A 20,863-nucleotide genomic window follows, 5' to 3' on the forward strand; every position below is an offset into this window, starting at 1 on the left:
AGGCTGACCAACACCAAAAGACAGGGGAAAATAAATTATGATATGATTAATGATGGATTCCACTTGGCTCTGTCTTGGTGCCTCAGGGTCACTCTTCCGCCTCATTTGATTCCCGCCCCATGCCCAGTTAGATGCCTCCCATGAGATATTGTCCTTCAGTCTCTCTGGCTGGAAAACACAGGGTTAACTGATGGTGTCTTGCTGGTGTGGGGCTGTCTCTTTCCAACATTTTGTCCCAGTAGCCTCATTGGGGAGTCAATATATTGTTCTCCTTCACTGTCTTTCCAGGGATGAGTTCATGCTAACACAGGAATAAGGCCCCCCCCTCCCAGGGGCCTCCAGGTAGACGGTGTTATACTAGAGATGTAACTGAGAGAGCCAAGTTTTAAGGAGGGGAGCAGGTTTGGCTGTGGAAGCCCAGGAGCCTTTGCTTCCCCTTTCAGCATCAGGAAAGCCTGGGCTGAGCCCCTTCCAGTCCCCCTCACAACCAATGTGCCCTACCTGACCCCCTTTCATGTCCTTCATGTTCATGGCATTCTTCATGCCTTTGCCCTTCTCCTTCTTGTTCTTCTTCTTCTTGCAGCAGCATTTCTTGCAGATGCAGAAGCAGCAGGTGAGAAGCAGGAGCCCAGCAACCACAGCAATGGCGATCAGTGCCCAGGGTGGTACTGCCCACACAGAGAAGATCCCAGGGTCAGCAGTGCCATGCCTTGCAGCCCCTGACCCCGTAGCATTGGGAAAAATGGGTGAGGAATATGACTGCCATCCCACAATGCCCACACCCCACATTTTAAAAGCCACACACCCATGAGTGATTTGTATGTAAGGTGCATATACTTTGCATGCCTTTTCAATCATGCCTTGCTTTTTTTTTTTTTTTTTTTTTTTTTGCCTACTGTCCTTGTTGGTATAGCCTGCTAGCTGAGAGGTAGCAACCAGGTGGATGCATGGAAGAATATCAGTTTAGCTCTATTGAGTTTTACTAGTGTGATCTATGGAGGACTGGCTCACTCTAGAGAGGATGGGATGATGCTTATCAGTCCTTTGGCCTCTGCCCCTTGTGCCAAGTCTTGAGAGGGCTGATGCATAGCCAGATAGGCAGGCCAAGCTCCTTGAGGCTAGACCTAGACTGCTGCTGGGCTTTGCAAAACCCAACTGGGGATGGGTCCTGGGCTGCTCTCTGTGGTTCTGAAGCACCATCTCCCGCCAGTGTGGCTGCTCCCCCTTAATCTGCATCTCTGGTGTCTCCTATACAGCCTCTGCCAGAAATTCAAAAGCAGAGAGGGCTTTTATTTTCTATCTTCCAAAATAAATTTCAAAGTATTATTGGCAAACTTGAATAGTGACTTCTGTTTCATAATTTTTCATCGCCTTTTGGTTTCATCTTTAGACAGTTTTTTAAGTTATAAGAACTTTTCTTCCCCTGAGAAGTTGACGCACATAAACCCCCTTGTTTGCCACATTAGTGGCAGATCCTACTTCCCCCTCCCCGATTCCTGCAGGGGCTCTCCAAAAACCCAGCCTGAAATCTAAGCATTAGGAAAGAGCCCAGCCAATCACATCCCAGTGGTATCCCCACCCTTCTTCACCTCTCCCAGACTCTAGCCTTGCCCCACCCTCTCAGCCACCAGAGACACTCACAGGGAATCTTGTTTATCTCATTGAATAACTTCTCCTTCAGTTTGGCAAACATGTCCTCCTGGCTCTCCCCAGCACCCCCACTCTCAGTGGAGTTGTCCACGGGTCCAATGGGCATCGTGGCGGTGGTGGTGGCAGGAGCCACAATAGGCTCCTGGTTCCTCTTGAAAATGTTCCTCATGGTGGCAGAGGAAACAGCTGGGGACGAGAGGTGAAGAGGGCAGGGTGAGCATCCAGAGGTCGTCTTACCCTGAGAAAGCCCTGCCCAAAGGACCAGGAGAAGCTCTTTATAGATCAAAGATATTTTGCATAATATTAACAACTGTAGTAAACCAATAATAATAGACATCATCCAATTAGTACACAGTCAGCCTGAGCAGCATAGCAAGACCCTATCTTTAGAAATTTTTTTTTTTTAGTTAGGCATAGTGGGGGCTGAAGTGATAGAGGATCACTTGAGTCCAGGAGTTTGAGGTTACATGAGCTATGGGTGATTAAGTAAGGTTCTGTCTCTTAAAAAAAATAGTACATATATGTGCCAAGCACTGTGCAAAACACTTTCCATGCATTATTCATCTAATCCAAAAAATAACCTAATGGTTTTTATTGGTTCCATTTAACAGATGGGGAAACAGGTTCAGAGAGGTTAGATAGTTTTTCCAAGGTCACTTAGCTGTAAGTTCTGAAACTGAGGTTTGAACTGGTCTGCCCAACTCCAGAGCCTGTATAGCTAATCACTCTCCTATATCTCATTGAAATCTAACCTCACCACTCTAGGAAGGAGACAAGGTTTTACACTGAGGGCTCCTCTTTCAACCTCTCTCCTTGACTTCCAAGGATTTCTAGATACTACTCTGCCTAGAATCTCTGCCCAGCTCCATGACACTTGACTCTCCTCATCCCTGACTCCAATTCCTCCTCCTGCCCCGCGAGACTCCTCAGCTCTCTGCGGTTTCTTCACGGGCTCCCTCAGTGCCCACTCAGGGTTTGTTTTGACCTCTCCTGTAGGAAGACGGCACCCACATCTCCATCTCTAGCCCTTCCTCCCCGGTCTACTCTGTGGCCCCTACTCCAGGTTCATCTCTAGCCCTGCCCCCACATGCAGCTGTAGATTAGCCTTCCCGCATCAAAGATGTGATGTTTATTAATAACATAACCCAGACTTACTGTAGAAAATTTGGGGAGAGAGAGAGAAATCCCCCCATAATTCTACCCTCCAAAGTCAACTAGCATTTGGGGCATTCTATGCTGGTATTTTTTCTGAGTATGTTTTACATGTTGAGACCATACTATGTATAGTTTTTTTTCAAGATTTTTTACATAAAATTTCATCATAAGCCTTTTCCTTTATTGTTTTTTATTATTAAATAGCTACATAATATCCTACTATATGGTAACACCATAATTTTTTTAGCCATTCCACTGGTAGACATTTAGGCAGTTTTCAACTTTTTCCTAGTAAAACACTGAGCATAAATGTTGGTCTTCATTTAAGGCAATGTTCTTACGAGCTTCCAAACTCTGCCCCCCATAATTCTGTCCTCTCCACCAAGCTCTTTCTGCTCCTCAGGGCTATGCACTTATTTCTCAACTGAAAGTCCCATGAGGGCAGATCCTGTGTTGGCAACAGCACCCCTTGTGCCAAGCACACAGCGGGCACTCTGGGTATTTGTTGACTGGGCTCCTCTGAGGGAACATAGCAGCATACACCCACAGGTATTCCAGGATGCAAGAATAAACAGCACAACTCCCTGAGGCATCCGTTTTACTGAATGGCAATTTACAGTATTTTTAAATTAAAACAAGCTGGAAATAATAGAGTAGGATGCATACAGCACAAGAATTTAAAGAAAAAATGTGAGACTTTTCTCACTGCACGTTAGGTATGAGTTAACTCTCCTCTAGACTCAGGGTTCTTCTGAAGGAACATTTTAGGAGCTCTTAAGTTCTGTCCCTTCCTTTAAAAACCTGCTGAGATCCCCTCCCCAGCCCTGGAGACTGCTCCAGCCTTAAGTACTTCTGGTGGCCTGTACATTGATGCAATGTAGGTTCATTCACCAAGCATTTATTTAACTCTTACTGTCTGCCATGTTGAAATAGCCTTGACCCCAAAACTGGTCTTGAAGTGAAAAACCAAGGTCCACTGGACTTCGCCTCTGGGGACAAAGAGATGGGTCCGGTTTGGCGGGAACTGCAAGTAGCCACACAAAGGGATAAAGATGTGTGTCCAGGGCCTTCCGCCATGTCCATCTCCCCTCACTTCTACCACACTGTTCAGGGCTCTGTGACCTTTTTTTTTTAAAAAACAGCTTTATTGAGATGTAATTCACATATGTCACCCTTTAAAGTACACAGTTCAGTGCATTTTATTGTATTCACAGAATAGTGGAACAATTAGCATAACCTAAGTTAGAACATTTTTGCCACCTCAAAAAGAAACCCAGTCCCATTAGCAGTCACTCTCCATTCCCATCCTCTTCCCAGCTCCAGCAACCACTAATCTACTTTCTGACTCTATAGATTTGTCTATCCTAAACATTTCCTATCAATGGAATTATAAAATATGTGGTCTTTGTGACTGGCTTCTTTCATTTAGTATGATGTTTTCAAGGTTCATCTATGTTGTAGCATGTATCAGTATTTCATTCCCTTTTTATTGCCACATAGTATTCCATTGTGTAGATAGAAAACATTTTTTTTTTTTTTTGAGACAGGGTCTCACTCTGTCACCCAGCTGGAGTGCAGTGGTGCAACCACTTACTACAGCCTCCACCTCCAGGGCTCAAGTGATCATCCCACCTCAGCTTCCCGAGTAGCTGGGATTACAGGTGCATGCCATCACACCAAGCTAATTTTTTAATTTTTTGTAGATATGGGGTCTCCCTATATTGCCCAGGCTGGTCTCGAGCTCCTGGCCTCAAGCAATCCTCCCACTTCAGCCTCCAAAATGTTGGCATTACAGGCATGAGCCACCGCACCTTGCCTAGAACATATTTTATATTTATCCATTCATCAATTTATAAATATTTGGGTTATTTCCACTTTGGGCTATTTTATAACTAAATATAGCTAATAATATCCCACTTGTGGGATATTATGAATAATGCTGCTATGAACATCCATGCATAAGTTTTTGCGTGGACATATGTTTTCATTTCTCTTGGGTATATACATAGGTATGGAATTGCTGGGTCATAACTATGTTTGACATTTTAAGGTGCCAGCACCAATTTATGTTCCCACCAGCAATGTATGAGGGTTCCAAGTTTTCCACATCCCAGACAACACTTATTTTTTTATTATACTTTAAATTTTAGGGTACATGTGCACAATGTGCAGGTTAGTTACATGTGTATACATGTGCCATGTTGGTGTGCTGCACCCATTAACTCGTCATTTAACATTAGGTATATCTCCTAATGCTAACCCTCCACCCTCCCCCCACCCCACAACAGGCCCCAGAGTGTGATGTTCCCCTTCCTGTGTCCATGTGTTCTCATTGTTCAATTCCCACCTATGAGTGAGAACATGCGGTGTTTGGTTTTTTGTCCTTGCGATAGTTTGCTGAGAATGATGGTTTCCAGCTTCATCCATGTCCCTACAAAGGACATGAACTCATCATTTTTTATGGCTGCATAGTATTCCATGGTGTATGTGTGCCACATTTTCTTAATCCAGTCTTATCATTGTTGGACATTTGGGTTGGTTCCAAGTCTTTGCTATTGTGAATAGTGCCGCAATGAACATACGTGTGCATGTGTCTTTATAATCCTTGACTTATAATCCATGACTTATAATCCTTTGGGTATATACCCAGTAATGGGATTGCTGGATCAAATGGTATTTCTAGTTCTAGACCCCTGAGGAATCGCCACACTGACTTCCACAATGGTTGAACTAGTACAGTCCCACCAACAGTGTAAAAGTGTTCCTATTTCTCCACATCCTCTCCAGCACCTGTTGTTTCCTGACTTTTTAATGATCGCCATTCTAACTGGTGTGAGATGATATCTCATTGTGGTTTTGATTTGCGTTTCTCTGATGGCCAGTGATGATGAGCATTTTTTCATGTGTCTTTTGGCTGCATAACTGTCTTCTTTCGAGAAGTGTCTGTTCATATCCTTTGCCCACTTTTTGATGGGGTTGTTTTTTTCTTGTAAATTTGTTTGAGTTCATTGTAGATTCTGGATATTAGCCCTTTGTCAGATGAGTAGATTGCAAAAATTTTCTCCCATTCTGTAGGTTGCCTGTTCACTCTGATGGTAGTGTCTTTTGCTCTGCAGAAGCTCTTTAGTTTAATTGGATCCCATTTGTCTATTTTGGCTTTTGTTGCCATTGCTTTTGGTGTTTTAGACGTGAAGTCCTTGCCCATGCCTGTGTCCTGAATGGTATTGCCTAGGCTTTCTTCTAGGGTTTTTATGGTTTTAGGTCTAACATTTAAGTCTTTAATCCATCTTGAATTAATTTTTGTATAAGGTGTAAGGAAGGGATCCAGTTTCAGCTTTCTACATATGGCTAGCCAGTTTTCCCAGCACCATTTATTAAATAGGGAATCGTTTCCCCATTTCTTGTTTTTGTCAGGTTTGTCAAAGATCAGATGGTTGTAGATATGCGGCATTATTTCTGAGGGCTCTGTTCTGTTCCATTGGTCTATATCTCTGTTTTGGTACCAGTACCATGCTGTTTTGGTTACTGTAGCCTTGTAGTATAGTTTGAAGTCAGGTACTGTGATGCCTCCAGCTTTGCTATCTATGACAAACCCACAGCCAATATCATACTGAATGGGCAAAAACTGGAAGCATTCCCTTTGAAAACTGGCACAAGACAGGGATGCCCCCTCTCACCACTCCTATTCAACATAGTGTTGGAAGTTCTGGCCAGGGCAATCAGGCAGGAGAAGGAAATAAAGGGTATTCAGTTAGGACAAGAGAAAGTCAAATTGTCCCTGTCTGCAGATGACATGATTGTATATCTAGAAAACCCCATCGTCTCAGCCCAAAATCTCCTTAAGCTGATAGGCAACTTCAGCAAAGTCTCAGGATACAAAACCAATGTGCAAAAATCACAAGCATTCTTATACACCAACAACAGACAAACAGAGAGCCAAATCATGAGTGAACTCCCATTCACAATTGCTTCAAAGAGAACAAAATACCTAGGAATCCAACTTACAAGGGATGTGAAGGACCTCTTCAAGGAGAACTACAAACCACTGCTCAATGAAATAAAAGAGGATACAAACAAATGGAAGAACATTCCATGCTCATGGGTAGGAAGAATCAATATCATGAAAATGGCCATACTGCCCAAGGTAATTTATAGATTCAATGCCATCCCCATCAAGCTACCAATGACTTTCTTCACAGAATTGGAAAAAACTACTTTAAAGTTCATATGGAACCAAAAAAGAGCCCGCATTGCCAAGTCAATCCTAAGCCAAAAGGACAACACTTGTTATTATGTCTTTTTGTTTATAGTAATCCCAGTGGAGGTGAAGCGGCATTTCATTGTAGTTTTGATTTGCATTTCCCTGATGTCTAATGATGTAGCATATCTTTTCATGTGCTTATGGGCCATTTGTATATCTTCCATAGAGAAATATCTATTCAAATCCTTTGGTCATCTTAAAATATTTTGTCTTTTTATTATTGAGTTGTAAGAATTTTTATATATTCTGCATACCAGTTCCTTTTTGAACATATAATTTGCAAATATTTTCTCTCATTCTAGGGTTATATTTTCATTTTGTGTGTGTGTGGTGTTTTTTTGTTGTTTTTGAGATGGAGTTTCACTCTTGTTGCCCAGGCTGGAGTGCAATGGCACAATCTCAGCTCACTGCCACCTCCACCTCCCAGGTTCAAGTGATTCTCCAGCCTCAGCCTCCCAAAGTAGCTGGGATTGTTATAGGCGCTCACCACCATGCCTGGCTAATTTTTGTATTTTTAGTAGAGACGGGGTTTTACCATGTTGGCCAGGCTGGTCCCAAACTCCTGACCTCAGTTGATCTGGCCTCCTCGGCCTCCCAAAGTGCTGGGATTACAGGCATGAGCCACTGTGCCTGGTCATATTTTCAGTTTTTAATGGTGTCCTTTGAAGCAAAAAAGTTTTCAATTTTGATGATGTCCAATTTAGCTGTTTCTTTTGCTGCCATATTTTTGGTGCTATATCCAAGAAACCATCACTAAACCTAAGGGCACTAAGATTTACTCCTTTGTTTTCTTATGGGAGTTGCATAGTTTTAGCTCTCACATTCAAGTCTACAAGCCACTTATTTTTTAAGACAGGGTCTCACTCTGTTACCCAGGCTAAAGTGCAGTGGCATGATCATGGCTCACTGCAGCCATGGCCTCCTGAGCTCAAGTGATCCTCCAGCCTCAGCCTCCCGAGTAGCTAGGACTACAGCCATGTGCCATTACATCTGGCTAATTTTTAATTTTCTTCTAGAAATTAGGTTCCACTATGTTTCTACAATCCACTTTGAGTATGGCGTAAGGAAGGGGTTCACATTCATTCGTTTGTATGTGGATATCCATTTGGTATATAACATTTGTTGAAAAGACTATTCTGTCCTCCATCCAGTTGTCTTAGTTCCCTTGTAAAATATCAACTGACCACAAATATGAGGGTTTATTTCTGGACTCTCAATTCTATCTGTATGTCTAACCTCATGGCAATACCACACTGATTTTTTTTTTTAATAGCACCTGCCTACTATTGACCATACTGTCGTGATTACTGTAGCTTTGTAGTAAGTTTTGAAATCAGGCAGAATGGGTCTTCCAACTTTGTTTTTTGAGCCAAGGTCTCACTCTGTCACCCAGGCTGGAGTACAGTGGTGTGAACATGGCTCACTGCAGCCTTGACCTCCCGGGCTCAATTGATCCTCCCACCTCAGCCTTCTGAGTAGCTAGGACTACAGCCCCATGCCACCACAACTGGCTAATTTTTGTATTTTTGTAGAGAAGGGGTTTCACCATGCTGCCCAGGCTGGTCTCGAACTCCTGGGCTCATGCAATCCACCTGCCTTGGCTTCCCAAAGTGCTGGTACTACAGGCATGAACCACTGCACCAGGCCTGTTCTTCTTTAATCAGGATTGTTTTGGCTATTCTGGGTTCCTTGCATTTCCATATGAATTTTAGGACCACCTTGTTAATTTCTACAAAATAGCTGGAATTTTGATAGGCATTGTGTTGAATCTGTAGATCAGCTCAGGGATCATATCAACAACATTGAGTTTTCCACTATTTTCCCACTTATTTAGACCTTTAATTTCCTTCAAGATTGTTTTGTAGTTTTCAACTACACATCTTGCACTTCTTTTGTTCCTAGGTATCTTATTCTTTTTGATGTCATTATAAATGGAATTGTTTTCTTAATTTCACTTTCAGATTGTTCGTTGCTAGTGTATAGCAATATAATAGATTTTTGTATCTCAGTCTTGTACCCTGCCACATTGCCGAACTCATTGGTTCTTCCTTTTTTTTTTTTTTTTTTTTTTTTTTTTTCCAGACAGAGTCTCGCTCTGTCGCCCAGGCTGGAGAGCAGTGGTGCAATCTCGGCTCACTGCAACCTCCGCCTCCTGGGCTCAAGCAATTCTCATGCCTCAACCTCTCTAGTAGCTGGGATTATAGGCATGTGCCACCATGCCCGGCTAATTTTTGTATTTTTAGTAGAGACGGGGTTCCACCATGTTGGCCAGGCTGGTCTTGAACTCCTGACCTCAGGTGATCCGCCTGCCTCCACCTCCCGAAGTGCTGGGATTACAGGCATCAGCCACCGCGTTCAGCCTGAAATCATTTGTTCTAATAATTTGTGTGTGTGTGCATGTGTGTGTGTGCTGGTGGAGTCCTTAGGATTTTCTATATATAGAATCATGCAAATGAAGATAGTTTTCCATTTTCTTTTTCTTCCCTAATTGCCGTGGCTAGAACTTCCAGTCCACTGTTGAACAGAAGTGGTGACAGTGGGAATTCTTGTCTTTTTCCTGATCTTTGGGGGAAAATCTTTCAATCTTTCTTCATTTAATATAATGTAAGCTGTGGGCTTTTTGTAGATGCCATTTATCAGTTGAGCCTAGCTCCTCCATTCTACCCTTGCCGCTGGATTGGCAGTCCTCCTCCCCTTTCTGCAGACAGCTCCCCACAGCCGGTCCACGGTCCCTGCAGCACCCCACCCTCTCACTCTCCACTGCAGGGCAGGCAGGAGGCAGCACAGGCTGGGGGAAGAGGCTGAATGTAGTCCCAAGAATGCCAACCACTTGTCATTTGACTCCAAAAATCCCTTTGTGAAACTTGATTTCTTCAATATAAAATTGTGGAAAATAATACCTACTTTTCAGAACTGCCGTGAAAATTTTAAAAATAAATTTGGTTGTGTCTGGCACATAGAGGGCATTCAATAAATGTGGGTTGGATGTGAATCTGAGAAGTGTTCATTGAACCTTATCTGAGGCACCTGGAAGTGGCCCTGGCACCGTAGAGGGACCCAAGGTTCATGGTGGATGCAGGCCTTCTCTCCAGACTGACCGTCCAGAAATGGTCCTGTAGCAAAGTAAAGCTGCTTGGTGTCAAATAAACCAGCCAGGAATGAAGACGCTTAATGCTCCTGAGGTTCAGGGAATCTGCAGGCCAGGAATGAAGGGGGAGAACTGCATCTCAGGAGTGTTGGAGTCCCAGAAAAGGAGATTAGACTTCCCTCTATACCCAGCAGGAACCACTGAAGGGTGCTGAGCAGTTATAAGTGGGGTTTGTGAAGTTAGCTCCATGGGGAGTGGAGCAGGGAGGTTGGTTCCACAGACCAGAAATGGTAAAGACCTGCACTAGGATGGGAAGGTAAGGAATGGAGTAGAGAGAACAGATGTGAGAGACACATTCATTCATTCACTCACTCACTCAAGTATTTACTGAGCTCATATCATGCTTCCCTCATGGAATTTACCATGCACTTCACATAAGTGCATATAAAATTGTAATTATGAGAAGTGCAAGAAAGGAGAGCCATCTGGTGGTGGTGAGCATTTATAATGGGGCATACGTGAATTAATCTGGGAAAGCAAAAGTGCTTTCTTGAAAAATTGATGATTGAACTGAGACCTGAAGGGTGAGTATTTATCCAGGTAAAGAGGAGATGAAAGGGCAGCCTAGGCAGAGAGCACAGCCTATGCAAAGGCCCAGAGGTGGGATGCAGTGTGGTGAGTCCAAAGCCTGAGAGAAGGCCAGGGCAGCTGGAGTGGATGGATCACGGTTCAGGGTGAGGCTGGCAGGCCGGGCAGGGCAGGATCAGGAGCACCATAGGCCGCGTCAAGGAGTTTTGTCTTTCCCAAAGAGGAATGAGAAGCTGTGGGAGGCCTTTTAGGGTGGGGGCAGGGGTAACATGTACAAATGTATATTTTAAAAGTTTCGCTTTGGCTGTCGTGAGTAAAAAGACTAGGGTGGAGCATAACTCCAGAGGAAAGCGGGGAAAGAGTTGAAAACAGCCAATAACAAATGTCATCCCCGAGCTCTTATGAAAGACAGACGGCATTCCCGGGGAATCCACCAGAGGAAAATGACTTAGAGCTGCAGAGAGGGAATGTGGGGAGTCCATGAAGCAGCAGCAGCAGATTGGAAGCTTTTCCAGACTCCAACAAAACCAGGAGGCCATAGCTGCCCAGACAGCAAGGGAATAGAAGATGCCTGAGGAGGCTCATGTCAAAGGCAGGCATGGGCAGTGGGCCCAGAGAGTGGATGGGGTGGATTCAGGGCCCGTCTCTCAGTTATGCACCCAGTACATGGCACCAGGTGCTGAGACCAGAAGCCTTGGGGTCATCCTTCCCATCCATGTGGGGTCACCCCCCCACATCCCAGGTGTCTGCAAACTCATCAACCACCCACAATGCCTTCCAAATCTGGCCACTTTCCACCCTCCAGCTGGAGTACCACAGTAGCCTCCTATCTGGAAGCTTCCACTCCCCTCCACTCAGCCTGATCTCCACACTGCAGCCAGACTGATCTATTTAAAACCCTCCTGTGGCTTCTTGTCACATTTAGAATAAGATCCCTGCCTGGCCTGGCCCCTGGCTGGCTCCCACAGGCATTTCCTGTCCTTGCTCTCAGTCACGCAGTTCCTGCCATGCTGGCCTCTTGCCACCAGCCACAAACCCACCAAACAGACCCCCATCCCACAGTCTTGGCACTTACTCTCCCTCAGCCTAGAATGCTCTTCCTGGAGAAGTCTCCCTGACCTCCCTGGGCCACCATCAGCCCCTCTAGTCTTCTTTTCCCACCATGGTCCGTGGTGCCTACAACTTGTTCGCAATTCCCCACACTCCCTTGGCATTTCTGTGGTATTCACCTGGCAAAGCGCCAGCCCTGGAGAAATCCCACTGACAGCTTTCTCCTTCTCCATGGCTACCCCCGACTGCTGAGCCCCCTGGTGAAAATCCCCCCACAGTACAAGGGCAGCCTGTATCCCATCAATCCCCAGGATCACCCAGGCCCTCTGCACTGCACAGAAACTGCAGGAAACGCCTCCCCACCAGCTTCGCCTCCTCCTCCAGTTTCCGCAGGCCTGTGGCTCCCTCACACCCCTCCTCTCTCTTTGCTGTTATTTTAAAGAAAAGCAGAAGCGAGAAATCTCTCAAAATGTCCCAACCTTGGGTCAAACCACAGACCTTTCCTCCTGACCCCTTGTGAGTTGAGGGCTTTTCCTCTGGTTAAGCCAGTTCCCGTTCCTGCGCAGGATCCCTCCTGACTTCTCAGGAAGTCTTTGCCATCCCTGCCCTTTCTTGTGCCTAACATTTCCCCCTTCCCTCAGCTGAGGCTGGACCAGTCCAGTTTATCACATCACCCACCAAAAATGAGCCCCACCTGCTGCCTTGTTCTCCCCTTCGTGACCACGCACACACACTTGCACACACATACACATATGCACACACATATACACACGTGCACACACACGCACACATGGTCCCCATTTCGTCACGTCCACCTCACTCGTCAGCCCCTCCATTGTGGCTTCTGCCCCATCCCTCTGCTGAAGTAGCTCTTTGTAAAGTCATGGATGATGAACACAAGGTCACTAAACCCAGGGCGCATTTTCATTTTCCTTGAGCTGGACCCCTGAGCTGTGGTCAGCTGGCCGCTGCCTGCTTTTGTCATAACTGTGACTACTCCTCCTTCGGTTGCCTCAGGCTTGCACTTGAGGTCCTTCCCTTCTCAGCCATGGTGTCTCCCTGCGTGGTTCCTTCTGCACCCAGGCATCAGTGCCATCCTCTTCTGTCAGAGTCAAGCCACTTCCGAGCTCCAGGCCCACAGGTCAACTGGCCCCCGACATAGCTGCCTGATCTTCTGGGTCTCCTCTTGCTCGCCTCCAGTCAGTTCCGTATTTGCCACCAAGGCAATCTTCATAAAATGCAAAGCCAGTCATGTCGCCAAAAATGAAAAGCCATCCCAGGGAGACAGGCCGAAAGCCCTAGCGTGGCCTACAGCCCCTCATGCTCTCCATCCAGCAGCACCTCAGCTTTCCCTCCCTGGGTTGCTAACACCAGCCTACACTCCTTCTTTTGTTTCCCCTAATACACTGTATTACCCTCTTCGGGGCCTTTGTATATGCTGTGCCCCCTTCAAGGAGCCAAAGCCTATGATACAGTTTGGATCTGTGTCCCTGCCCAAATCTCATGTCAAATTGTAATCCCTGATGTTGGAGGTGGGGCCTGGTGAGAGGTGATTGGATCACAGGGTCAGATCTAGTGATAGTGAGTTCTCATGAGACTGGTCATTTAAAAGTGTGTAGCACCCCCCAACCCCCACTCCCTCGCCTCTTCCTCCTGCTCTGGCCATGTGAAGTGCTGGCTCCCTCTTCACCTCCCCCCATGATTGTAAGTTTCCTGAGGCCTCTCCAGAAGCCGAGCAGATGCCAGCATCATGCTTTCTGTACAGCCTGTGGAACTTCGAGCCAATTAAACCTCTTTTCTTTATAAATTGCCCAGTCTTAGGTTTTTCTTTATAGCAGTGCAAGATCAGACTAATACAGTCTACACATCTTTCTCAGCTCAAACAGTACTTCCAAGAACGCCTTCCTCCCCACACCCATGGCTCCCTCCTCCCCTACCCCCGCATCAAGGCCTCAACCACCTGCTTTCCCAGCTCTCCATTCTCATCCCCATGGTACTCATGCAGCTTGTGACTGTATAAGCAGCCACCTCATTGGTCTTACTCACTGCTGTTGCTCTAGTGCAGGCATTGGCCAACGGCAGTCCAGGGGCTAAATCCAGTCCCCCACCTAATTTTTGTAAATAAAATTTTGTTGGGACGCTCACTTGTTTACGCATTTTTTGTTGTTGTTGTTGTTGAGATGGAGTCTCGCTGTCTGCCAGGCTGGAGTGCAGTGGCACGATCTTGGCTCACTGCAACCTCTGCCTCCCAGGTTCAAGCAATTCTCCTGCCTCAGTCTCCCAAGTAGCTGGGATTACAGGTGCCCACCACACGCCTGGCTAATTTGTTGTAGTTTTGTAGAGACGGGGTTTCACCATGTTGGCCAGGCTGGTCTCGAACTCCTGACCTCAAGTAATCTGCCCACATTCAATAAATATGTGGGTCTGTAAATGATCAAGCAGGACAGACTTTGAGATTGGGTCACATTATGTCATTTCACAGAAGACACTGAATTCTGTGGGGAAGTGGCCTTCCCAGGGTCCCCCCGTGCAGTACAGGCTGGCTCTGGGCCCAGGGCTCTTTCCACAAACCATGTTAAGACTCAGTTGTCATCAGGCTATATCCAGGGACACCCACCCAAGCATAGATTGGGAAGGAACCAAGGTCTGGTGTGAGTGTGTGTGTGTGTGTGTGTGTGTGTGTGTACAGCGAGACCCCAAAGCTGGCATGGGAAGTGGGGGCATTGCACACAGCTTTGGGAACTGCCCACCCTTCCTCTCCTCTTGCAGCAGGCCTGGGACCATAGAGAGTCAGACGCACCCCCTTATGAGTCATTTCACCTCGGGTGGTTTCTTTCACCTCTCTGAGTGTCAGACTTCTTAACTATTTGAATGCAGCTTTTATTCCTAAACCCTCGAGTTGAGGCTGGGATTAAATGAGATGTTGCATGGGTAGAGACCGCATGTCCTTCCCACAGCCCACATCTGCTCAGCATGTAGAGAACCACTGCTTATTTTTCCAAGGCTGCCCTTCGGTTGCATTTCCATTTTCCCTGGGAGACACGCCAGTAGCTGAGAGACCAAGATTCCCTCAGCTGACTCTCCTTCTGATGTGACCCCCTGTCACCTGGCTCTGCTGTCCCTTCTAGAGTCAGAGAAAAAAAATGTAAAAAGAAGGAAAACAGCAGGAGCCCTTTCATACCCTGCATGCCACCCAAGACTCCTGGAGGCCTGGAGAAGTGAAGCCAGTTGTCCAAGGTCGCACAGGCATTTGGTGGAGGAAGAATCTAAATCCCTGGACCCCTAGTCCAGTGCTTCCTTCCACAGCCCAGCAGCCTCCTCCGCCTCCAGGACTATTTCCCCCACTCTAGGAGGCAGGGCTCCTATGGCTGGGGAGGAATGGCGGCGAGAACGGTGTGAGGGAGAGCCAAATTATCGGGAACTCACAGCTGCCTCGCCTCCCGCATGGCTGGGAGCTGCAGTCCCGGGGAGAGCAGCCAGCTGGAAGACTTGAGGATGATAAATGGATCAGGGTGCCAGGGCTCCCAGGACAGAGTGAACTCCTCTGTCTGGTCAGAATCACCCGAGCAGGAAAGCATGAAATGGCGCCATTAGGTGAAGGCTGCAGCTGCCCGGAGAGGGAGGCTGGGGGTGGGGAGAGATGCCTGCTCCCAGCCTGCTGGGCCACAGGTCAAGGTCTGAAGAGGTAGGGGTCTGGGAGGCCCCAACAAGGGAGAAGACACACAAGGGAAGGGACTGAGGAAGGGTCTCTCAGGCTTGGCCTGCATCAAGACCCCCTGGGGAATTTGTTAAAATGCAGACCCTCTGCCATTGCACCCTGTCTCCCAGAGCCTAACTCAGAAAACTCAGTGGACTGGAATGTGCCCAGGGATCTGCATTGTAACAACATCCCCATTTCCTCTGATGCAGGTGATCTGGGCACCACACTTTGAAAAAATGAGGTTCTAAGTAATTCAGAAAGACTTGCCAGAGAGGTCAAAGTCCAAGCCCGGTTGCTGGAAGTAAAATAAGCCTCAAAGGCACTGCAGACCTGGAGGGCATCAGAGCAGGGCAGGCAGGAGGACATTGGTGGCAACAACAGGTTCAATCACCATAGCTCTGTTTGATGAGCGCACAGATGTTCTCATCTAACCCACCTGGGAAGAGGGCACAATTACCAGCATCATTTCAAAGGCAAGGCAAATTCTGCTCAGACAGGTAGTAAGTGACCTGCCCAAGGTCACACAGTTGATCAGAGTAAAGATCCGGGTCTAAATTTGACTGAGGCCAGGTCTCCTGCTCAGGAGCAAGGTAGGGGGCCCAGTCCTCAGGGAAAGCTCAGGAAGGGGGAGTCTCCAATAGTGGGAAATGATGCTGGAGAAGCAGGGGTAGACCAGAAACAAGGTCACTAAACAGAATCCACGCAGGAATTCCCTTCTCTCCCTGGTCCACTGGCCGCTGTCCTTCTGTCTGCCCAGGATGGCCACTTGGCCCCTGTGACAGTGTCAGTCCCAAGCACTCAGGCCTCTGCAAGTGGCCCCAGGGCTGGGAGCAATGGGTCCAGGAGGAACCATGCTTGGCATGCATGTCCCTGCACAGACCCTAAAACATGCTGGGGTCTTGGAGTACTAGTTAACTGCCTCTGGCCCCCTTTGCTAGGGAGAACAGCCACACTTGGCCTGGGGTGAGTTAGGAGTTGGGGAGCAGGTGACAACCTGGTTGGCTTATCCTTTATCTTATCCTTTTTTTTTTTCTATCATGTAGAGAGCTGTCAGGGCAGAAAGCAGGACTTCAGGTGAGTATCAAAAAGAATGCTCTCAACAGAGAGCCTAGGGATACGCCGGGATGGGGAGTGCAGGGGGAAGGGGCCACCATCTCTCCCCCTGTTATAAGCCCTCTTATAACAAGCAGAAACAACATGTCTAGAGGCTCTCTCTTTCCTTAACTCCAAATGCCCAGATATGCTCAGAGCTCAGCCACAGTTCTTGTACCTAAACTAAAGGGAGACTTGATTGACAATCAAGTTGAGTAGGAGGGAAGGGGAGCTAGGCTGGAGGAGGAAGGTGGGGTGAGACGACCTCGCACACTCACACTCACACTCTCAGTAGTTCTGGGATGTTCTGCTTTGAGGGTCTTCACTCAGCCCATGGTCAGCCTACATGGGAGAATCACAGAAGGCCCAGATGCCCTGGAGCTTTGCTCTGTGTGGGTGAACAGGGAATGATCTCCAAGGGAGATAGTGGAAGAATCGGTGTGCAGGGGAGTGAGCATGATACCTGTGTAAAAGGGTAGGGGAGAAGTATATGTATGCTTGTATGCTTCTATATTCACAGCACGGCTCTGGAAAGGTGCATAAGGAATTGATGACATTAGTTGTAGTTGCTTCTGGGGAGCGGAGTTGGGAAAGGAGGAGCTGGAAAATATTTCACTGGGTATCTTTCTGTATCTTTAAATTTTTGAACCCCACGAAAATCTGCCTGTCTCTTCCACCCTCTGGTACTTCAGAACCCTGGAGCTGGATCCTCAGCCTTGCAAAGGAGAAAACAAATGAGGGGGGTTTGTGTGTTTTTAAATTTATTTTATTTTTTACAGACAGCGTCTCACTCTGTTGCTCAGGCTGGAATACAGGGCCGTGATCATAGCTCACTGCAGCCTTCAAACTCCTGGGCCCAAGCAATCCTCCCACCTCAGCCTCCCAAGGAGCTAGGACCACACACATGCGCCACCATGCCTGGCTAGTTTTAAAGTTTTTCATAGAGACAGGGTACCACTATGTTGCTCAGGCTGGTCTTGAACTCCTGGCCTCATGAACTCCTTGAACTCCTGGCGATCTTGCTGCCTTGACCTCCCAAAGTGCTGGGATTATAGGCATGAGCCACTGCGCCCAGCCAAAAGAGAGAACAAATGAGTGGGTTTGTGTAGCTCACCCAGAAATCGCCTGACCTGCTCCAGGTGGGAGGCATGCTGCAGGAAGAATGCCACCAGGACCTGCCCCCCTCACCCTCAGAGGACCCCTAGGCTCTCACCTTGCCTCTCTTCTTCCCTACAAAAAGTCAGGAGACTGGAAGCCCTGCTGTCTCCTCTAGCAGGCTTCTGGGATTCCCTTGGTGTGCCCCCAAATGAGACTGCCTCCAAAATGGGATCCTGATGCCACATCAAAGATGAGTAAGTTCAATCCTCACCCTCACCAAAAGCATATATGTGTGTGTGTGCACACATGTACATACACTCACCATCAACTGCCACCCCAAACCAATTAAATATGATCTGGGGACTAGGCACTTCTGTGGATTATCCCACTCAGTACTAGCCTTGATTAATGCAGATAATGGAGAGCTGACTGGATACAGCTTACAGTATTTAATCTTTCCCGGCATTGTATTTGCAGAAGCCAAAGTAATGAGATGGAAATAGGTTAACCAGCAAGACACCTGTCACCGAAGCTCACAGGCTAGAAAGATCAATACTTAAGGAGAAATATATGTCTTTATGTTTTGCACCAATGCTTCAGTCCAACATTTGGTCCTAGGAGGCTGAGGATAAAGTTTTAATGAATTAATTTTCTAGCTCATTCTGAAAATAAGTTACCCATTTCTTTGAGTTCCTTGTGTACCGAGGCCTGATGAGCCTTCTTGGTCAGTGCATGCACACCTCCACTTTGGAGCGAGGTTGTCATTCCGCACACGTAGAAGCAGAGTCTGTTCTTGACTGGCCCTGGGGAAGCTAACAACTCCCAGGTTCCTGAGAGTTGGAACGTCCTTCTAGTGTCTAACTTCAATCTCTCCTGCTGCAGCAACACTCATTTTCCTTCTCTTGATCTCGCTGAGATCAGCAATTCCAGGCCACCTGATGGGCGCCTCAGAATCCAATGGCTGAGGATTGAGCCCTTCCTGCACCAATCTTGGGCTGGCCTGTTAGCCTCCCTGCGCTTGTGCAGCTGTGTGTGGGGGTTAAGCATCCCTGCCCTGCCTGCCTTAAGGACAGCTTCCATGATCAAAGGTGAAGTTTCCTGAGTGAGGCTCTGTAAACCTGCAGCACCTCACACCTGCCTCGGATTATTTATTTCTCTCTGAACCTAGACCCCAGGCATGGATACCCTTAAATCACAGGCAAATATTAATAAAACCCAGCCTGTGAGGGCTGAGGGACTCTTACAGACAACGCAGTCCACAGCCTCTTTTCGAAAACAAAGAAACTGAGGCCCCAAAGGGAGGTGGCTTACCTCCATCACACAAACAACACCGCTAAATGGTGGCAGCCCTGCCTGAGTTGTCAACTCCTGGATTCCAGGCCTTTGTCGCCCCTCAGGCCACCCCACCAAGCCCTGGCTCCATTTGATCCTTGGCTAACTCTTGTAGGGTGCAGGGATAGTAGCAGTGGTGAGGGGGCAGAGGGATGCCCCCGCCAGGCAAGCCCCTCAGCACACCCTCCGCTCTGCCACCCCAGCCAGGATCACAACTTGAAACAGGACAGAGAAGCCCGCCATCCCCATGGGAGAGGAGCTGGAGTCCAGGCTCCCTGGAGAGGGAGTTAATACTGCAGCACGGCGCACTCTAGCCAAGACGGAGAAGCTGCTGAGTCACAGTCCAGCCGCCTGGCCAGCCCTGAGCTGCCTGCTGGGGCCCCCAGCTGCTCCCAGCCCAGGGGGCTGCCTCTGGCCCCCAGACAGGCTGCCTTCCCACCTCCTTCTCCAGAGACTCAGAATCTTGGGCCTCCAGGGTTCCCCACTCCCCAGCACCCCACAACATCTCCCAAACCCACAGGCAGCTGTCCTGGGGCGGAGGAGAGGGTCTTCCATTGGTTGGGTGTCAAGATGCTTGGGAGCAGGCCGGGAAGGGTGGGCGACCCGGAATGAGTGATTGAGTGGGGACAGATGGAGGCTTGGGGACCAGCGGGCCCTGGGCTGCCTGGTGTAGGATACGGAAAGTGTGTAGGGGGGGTGCACCCGTGGGCCCCAGGAGGTCTGTTGTGCGCATGCTCTGAGTGTGAGGGAGGACGGGTAGGACTGTGGGGGTCTGCCCTGGTCGTGCTCCCAAGAGAGGCACTGCTTTCTGCAGAGTGCGTGGGCAACTGCCAGCTGGGGGAGCGCTCACCAGGGGAAAGGGGAGCTCTCTGTGGCTTAGCAGTGATTAACCCACACAATCAATGGATCCTCCAGCCACAGTGTGAGCAGCTCTGCCTCATGTGAGGCACACAGCACCTTCCAGCACAGTCCCGATATCTTTCATGCCAGATGCACATCTTCAATTTCAGCTACAAACTGTTACAAATTGATGCATTTTCTTTCTGACTAAATGTTACAAGGTTTGAACACACTAGCTCTGCCGATCACCGCCCCTCTAAGGGATGGGTTTAGAGGTTTGGCACGAAAGCAAAAGCCTTTTAATAGGAGTGCGTGAGTGTGGTGGTGTGTGTGTGATGTGAGTGTGCATATGTGGCGTGTGCATGTATGTGGTGGGTAGGGGTATATGTGGTGGTATGTATGTGTAGGATGTGTGTGCTGTATGTGTAGTGTGTGTGATGTGGGCGCTAGGGTGTGGGGGACAGTGGGGTGTGTATATATGGTGTGTGTGTGATGTAGGGGGTGGTGTGGGTTAGGGGTGGAGGCTCTAGTGGGGTGTCAGGGGGTATGTGGGTAGTGGGTAGTGGCATATGTGTGGTGTGTACGTATGTGTGGTATGGGGGTATAGTGAGTTTGTGTGGGATGTGTGTGTAATACGTGTATGTGTTGTGGTCTGTTGTGTGTAGTGAGGTGTGTGTGGTGTATAGTAAGGTGTGTATGGTGTGTGTCTGTGTGGTGTGTAGTAGAGTGTGGATGTGTGTGGTGTGTGTGGTGTTTAGTAGTGTGTGTGGTGTGTGATGTGTGTGGTATCTGTGTGGTGTGTGTGGTGTCATAGAGTGTGTGTATGGCATGTAGCACAGTGTCTGGTGTGTAGTAGTGTGTGTGTGGTGTTTAGTAGTGTGTGTTGCGTGTAGTAGGGTGTGTGTGTGGTATGTAGTAGGGTGTGTGTGGCATGTAGTAGGGTGTGTGGTGTGTGTGTGGTGTGTGGTGTGTGTGTGGTGTGTATGGCATGTAGCATGGTGTGTGTGTG

The 20,863-nt window shown here is 47.9% G+C and overlaps 1 protein-coding gene across 8 annotated transcripts in view, besides 1 other annotated feature; it reads right to left on the reverse strand.

The window, feature by feature from the left end:
- The window catches only part of SYT2 (synaptotagmin 2), a 119,859-nt gene that overhangs the window by 13,358 nt on the left and 85,638 nt on the right, over nt 1-20,863 (reverse strand). For 6 of the 8 annotated variants that reach the window (NM_177402.5, XM_011509192.3, XM_017000312.2 and 3 more), the window contains exons 2-3: nt 1,642-1,836; nt 502-668 (exon numbers count right to left, since the gene is read on the reverse strand). In NM_177402.5, the coding sequence (NP_796376.2) occupies nt 502-668; nt 1,642-1,819 (345 nt within the window). In that variant the 5' untranslated portion in view covers nt 1,820-1,836. Of the gene's footprint in view, nt 1-501; nt 669-1,641; nt 4,988-20,863 lie in introns of those variants that run through there. The other 2 variants (XM_017000310.3, XM_017000309.3) reach the window with 1 other exon arrangement.
- Nucleotides 18,761-19,385: an enhancer, noted in NCBI's record as "H3K27ac-H3K4me1 hESC enhancer chr1:202591842-202592466 (GRCh37/hg19 assembly coordinates)". NCBI's record gives its function as "activates a minimal SCP1, AML or CMV promoter by ChIP-STARR-seq in primed H9 embryonic stem cells {active_cell/tissue: H9 hESC(primed)}" and the evidence as "EXISTENCE:reporter gene assay evidence [ECO:0000049][PMID:30033119]".

Source organism: Homo sapiens, chromosome 1, assembly GCF_000001405.40.
Source record: "Homo sapiens chromosome 1, GRCh38.p14 Primary Assembly".
Lineage (NCBI taxonomy): Eukaryota > Metazoa > Chordata > Mammalia > Primates > Hominidae > Homo > Homo sapiens.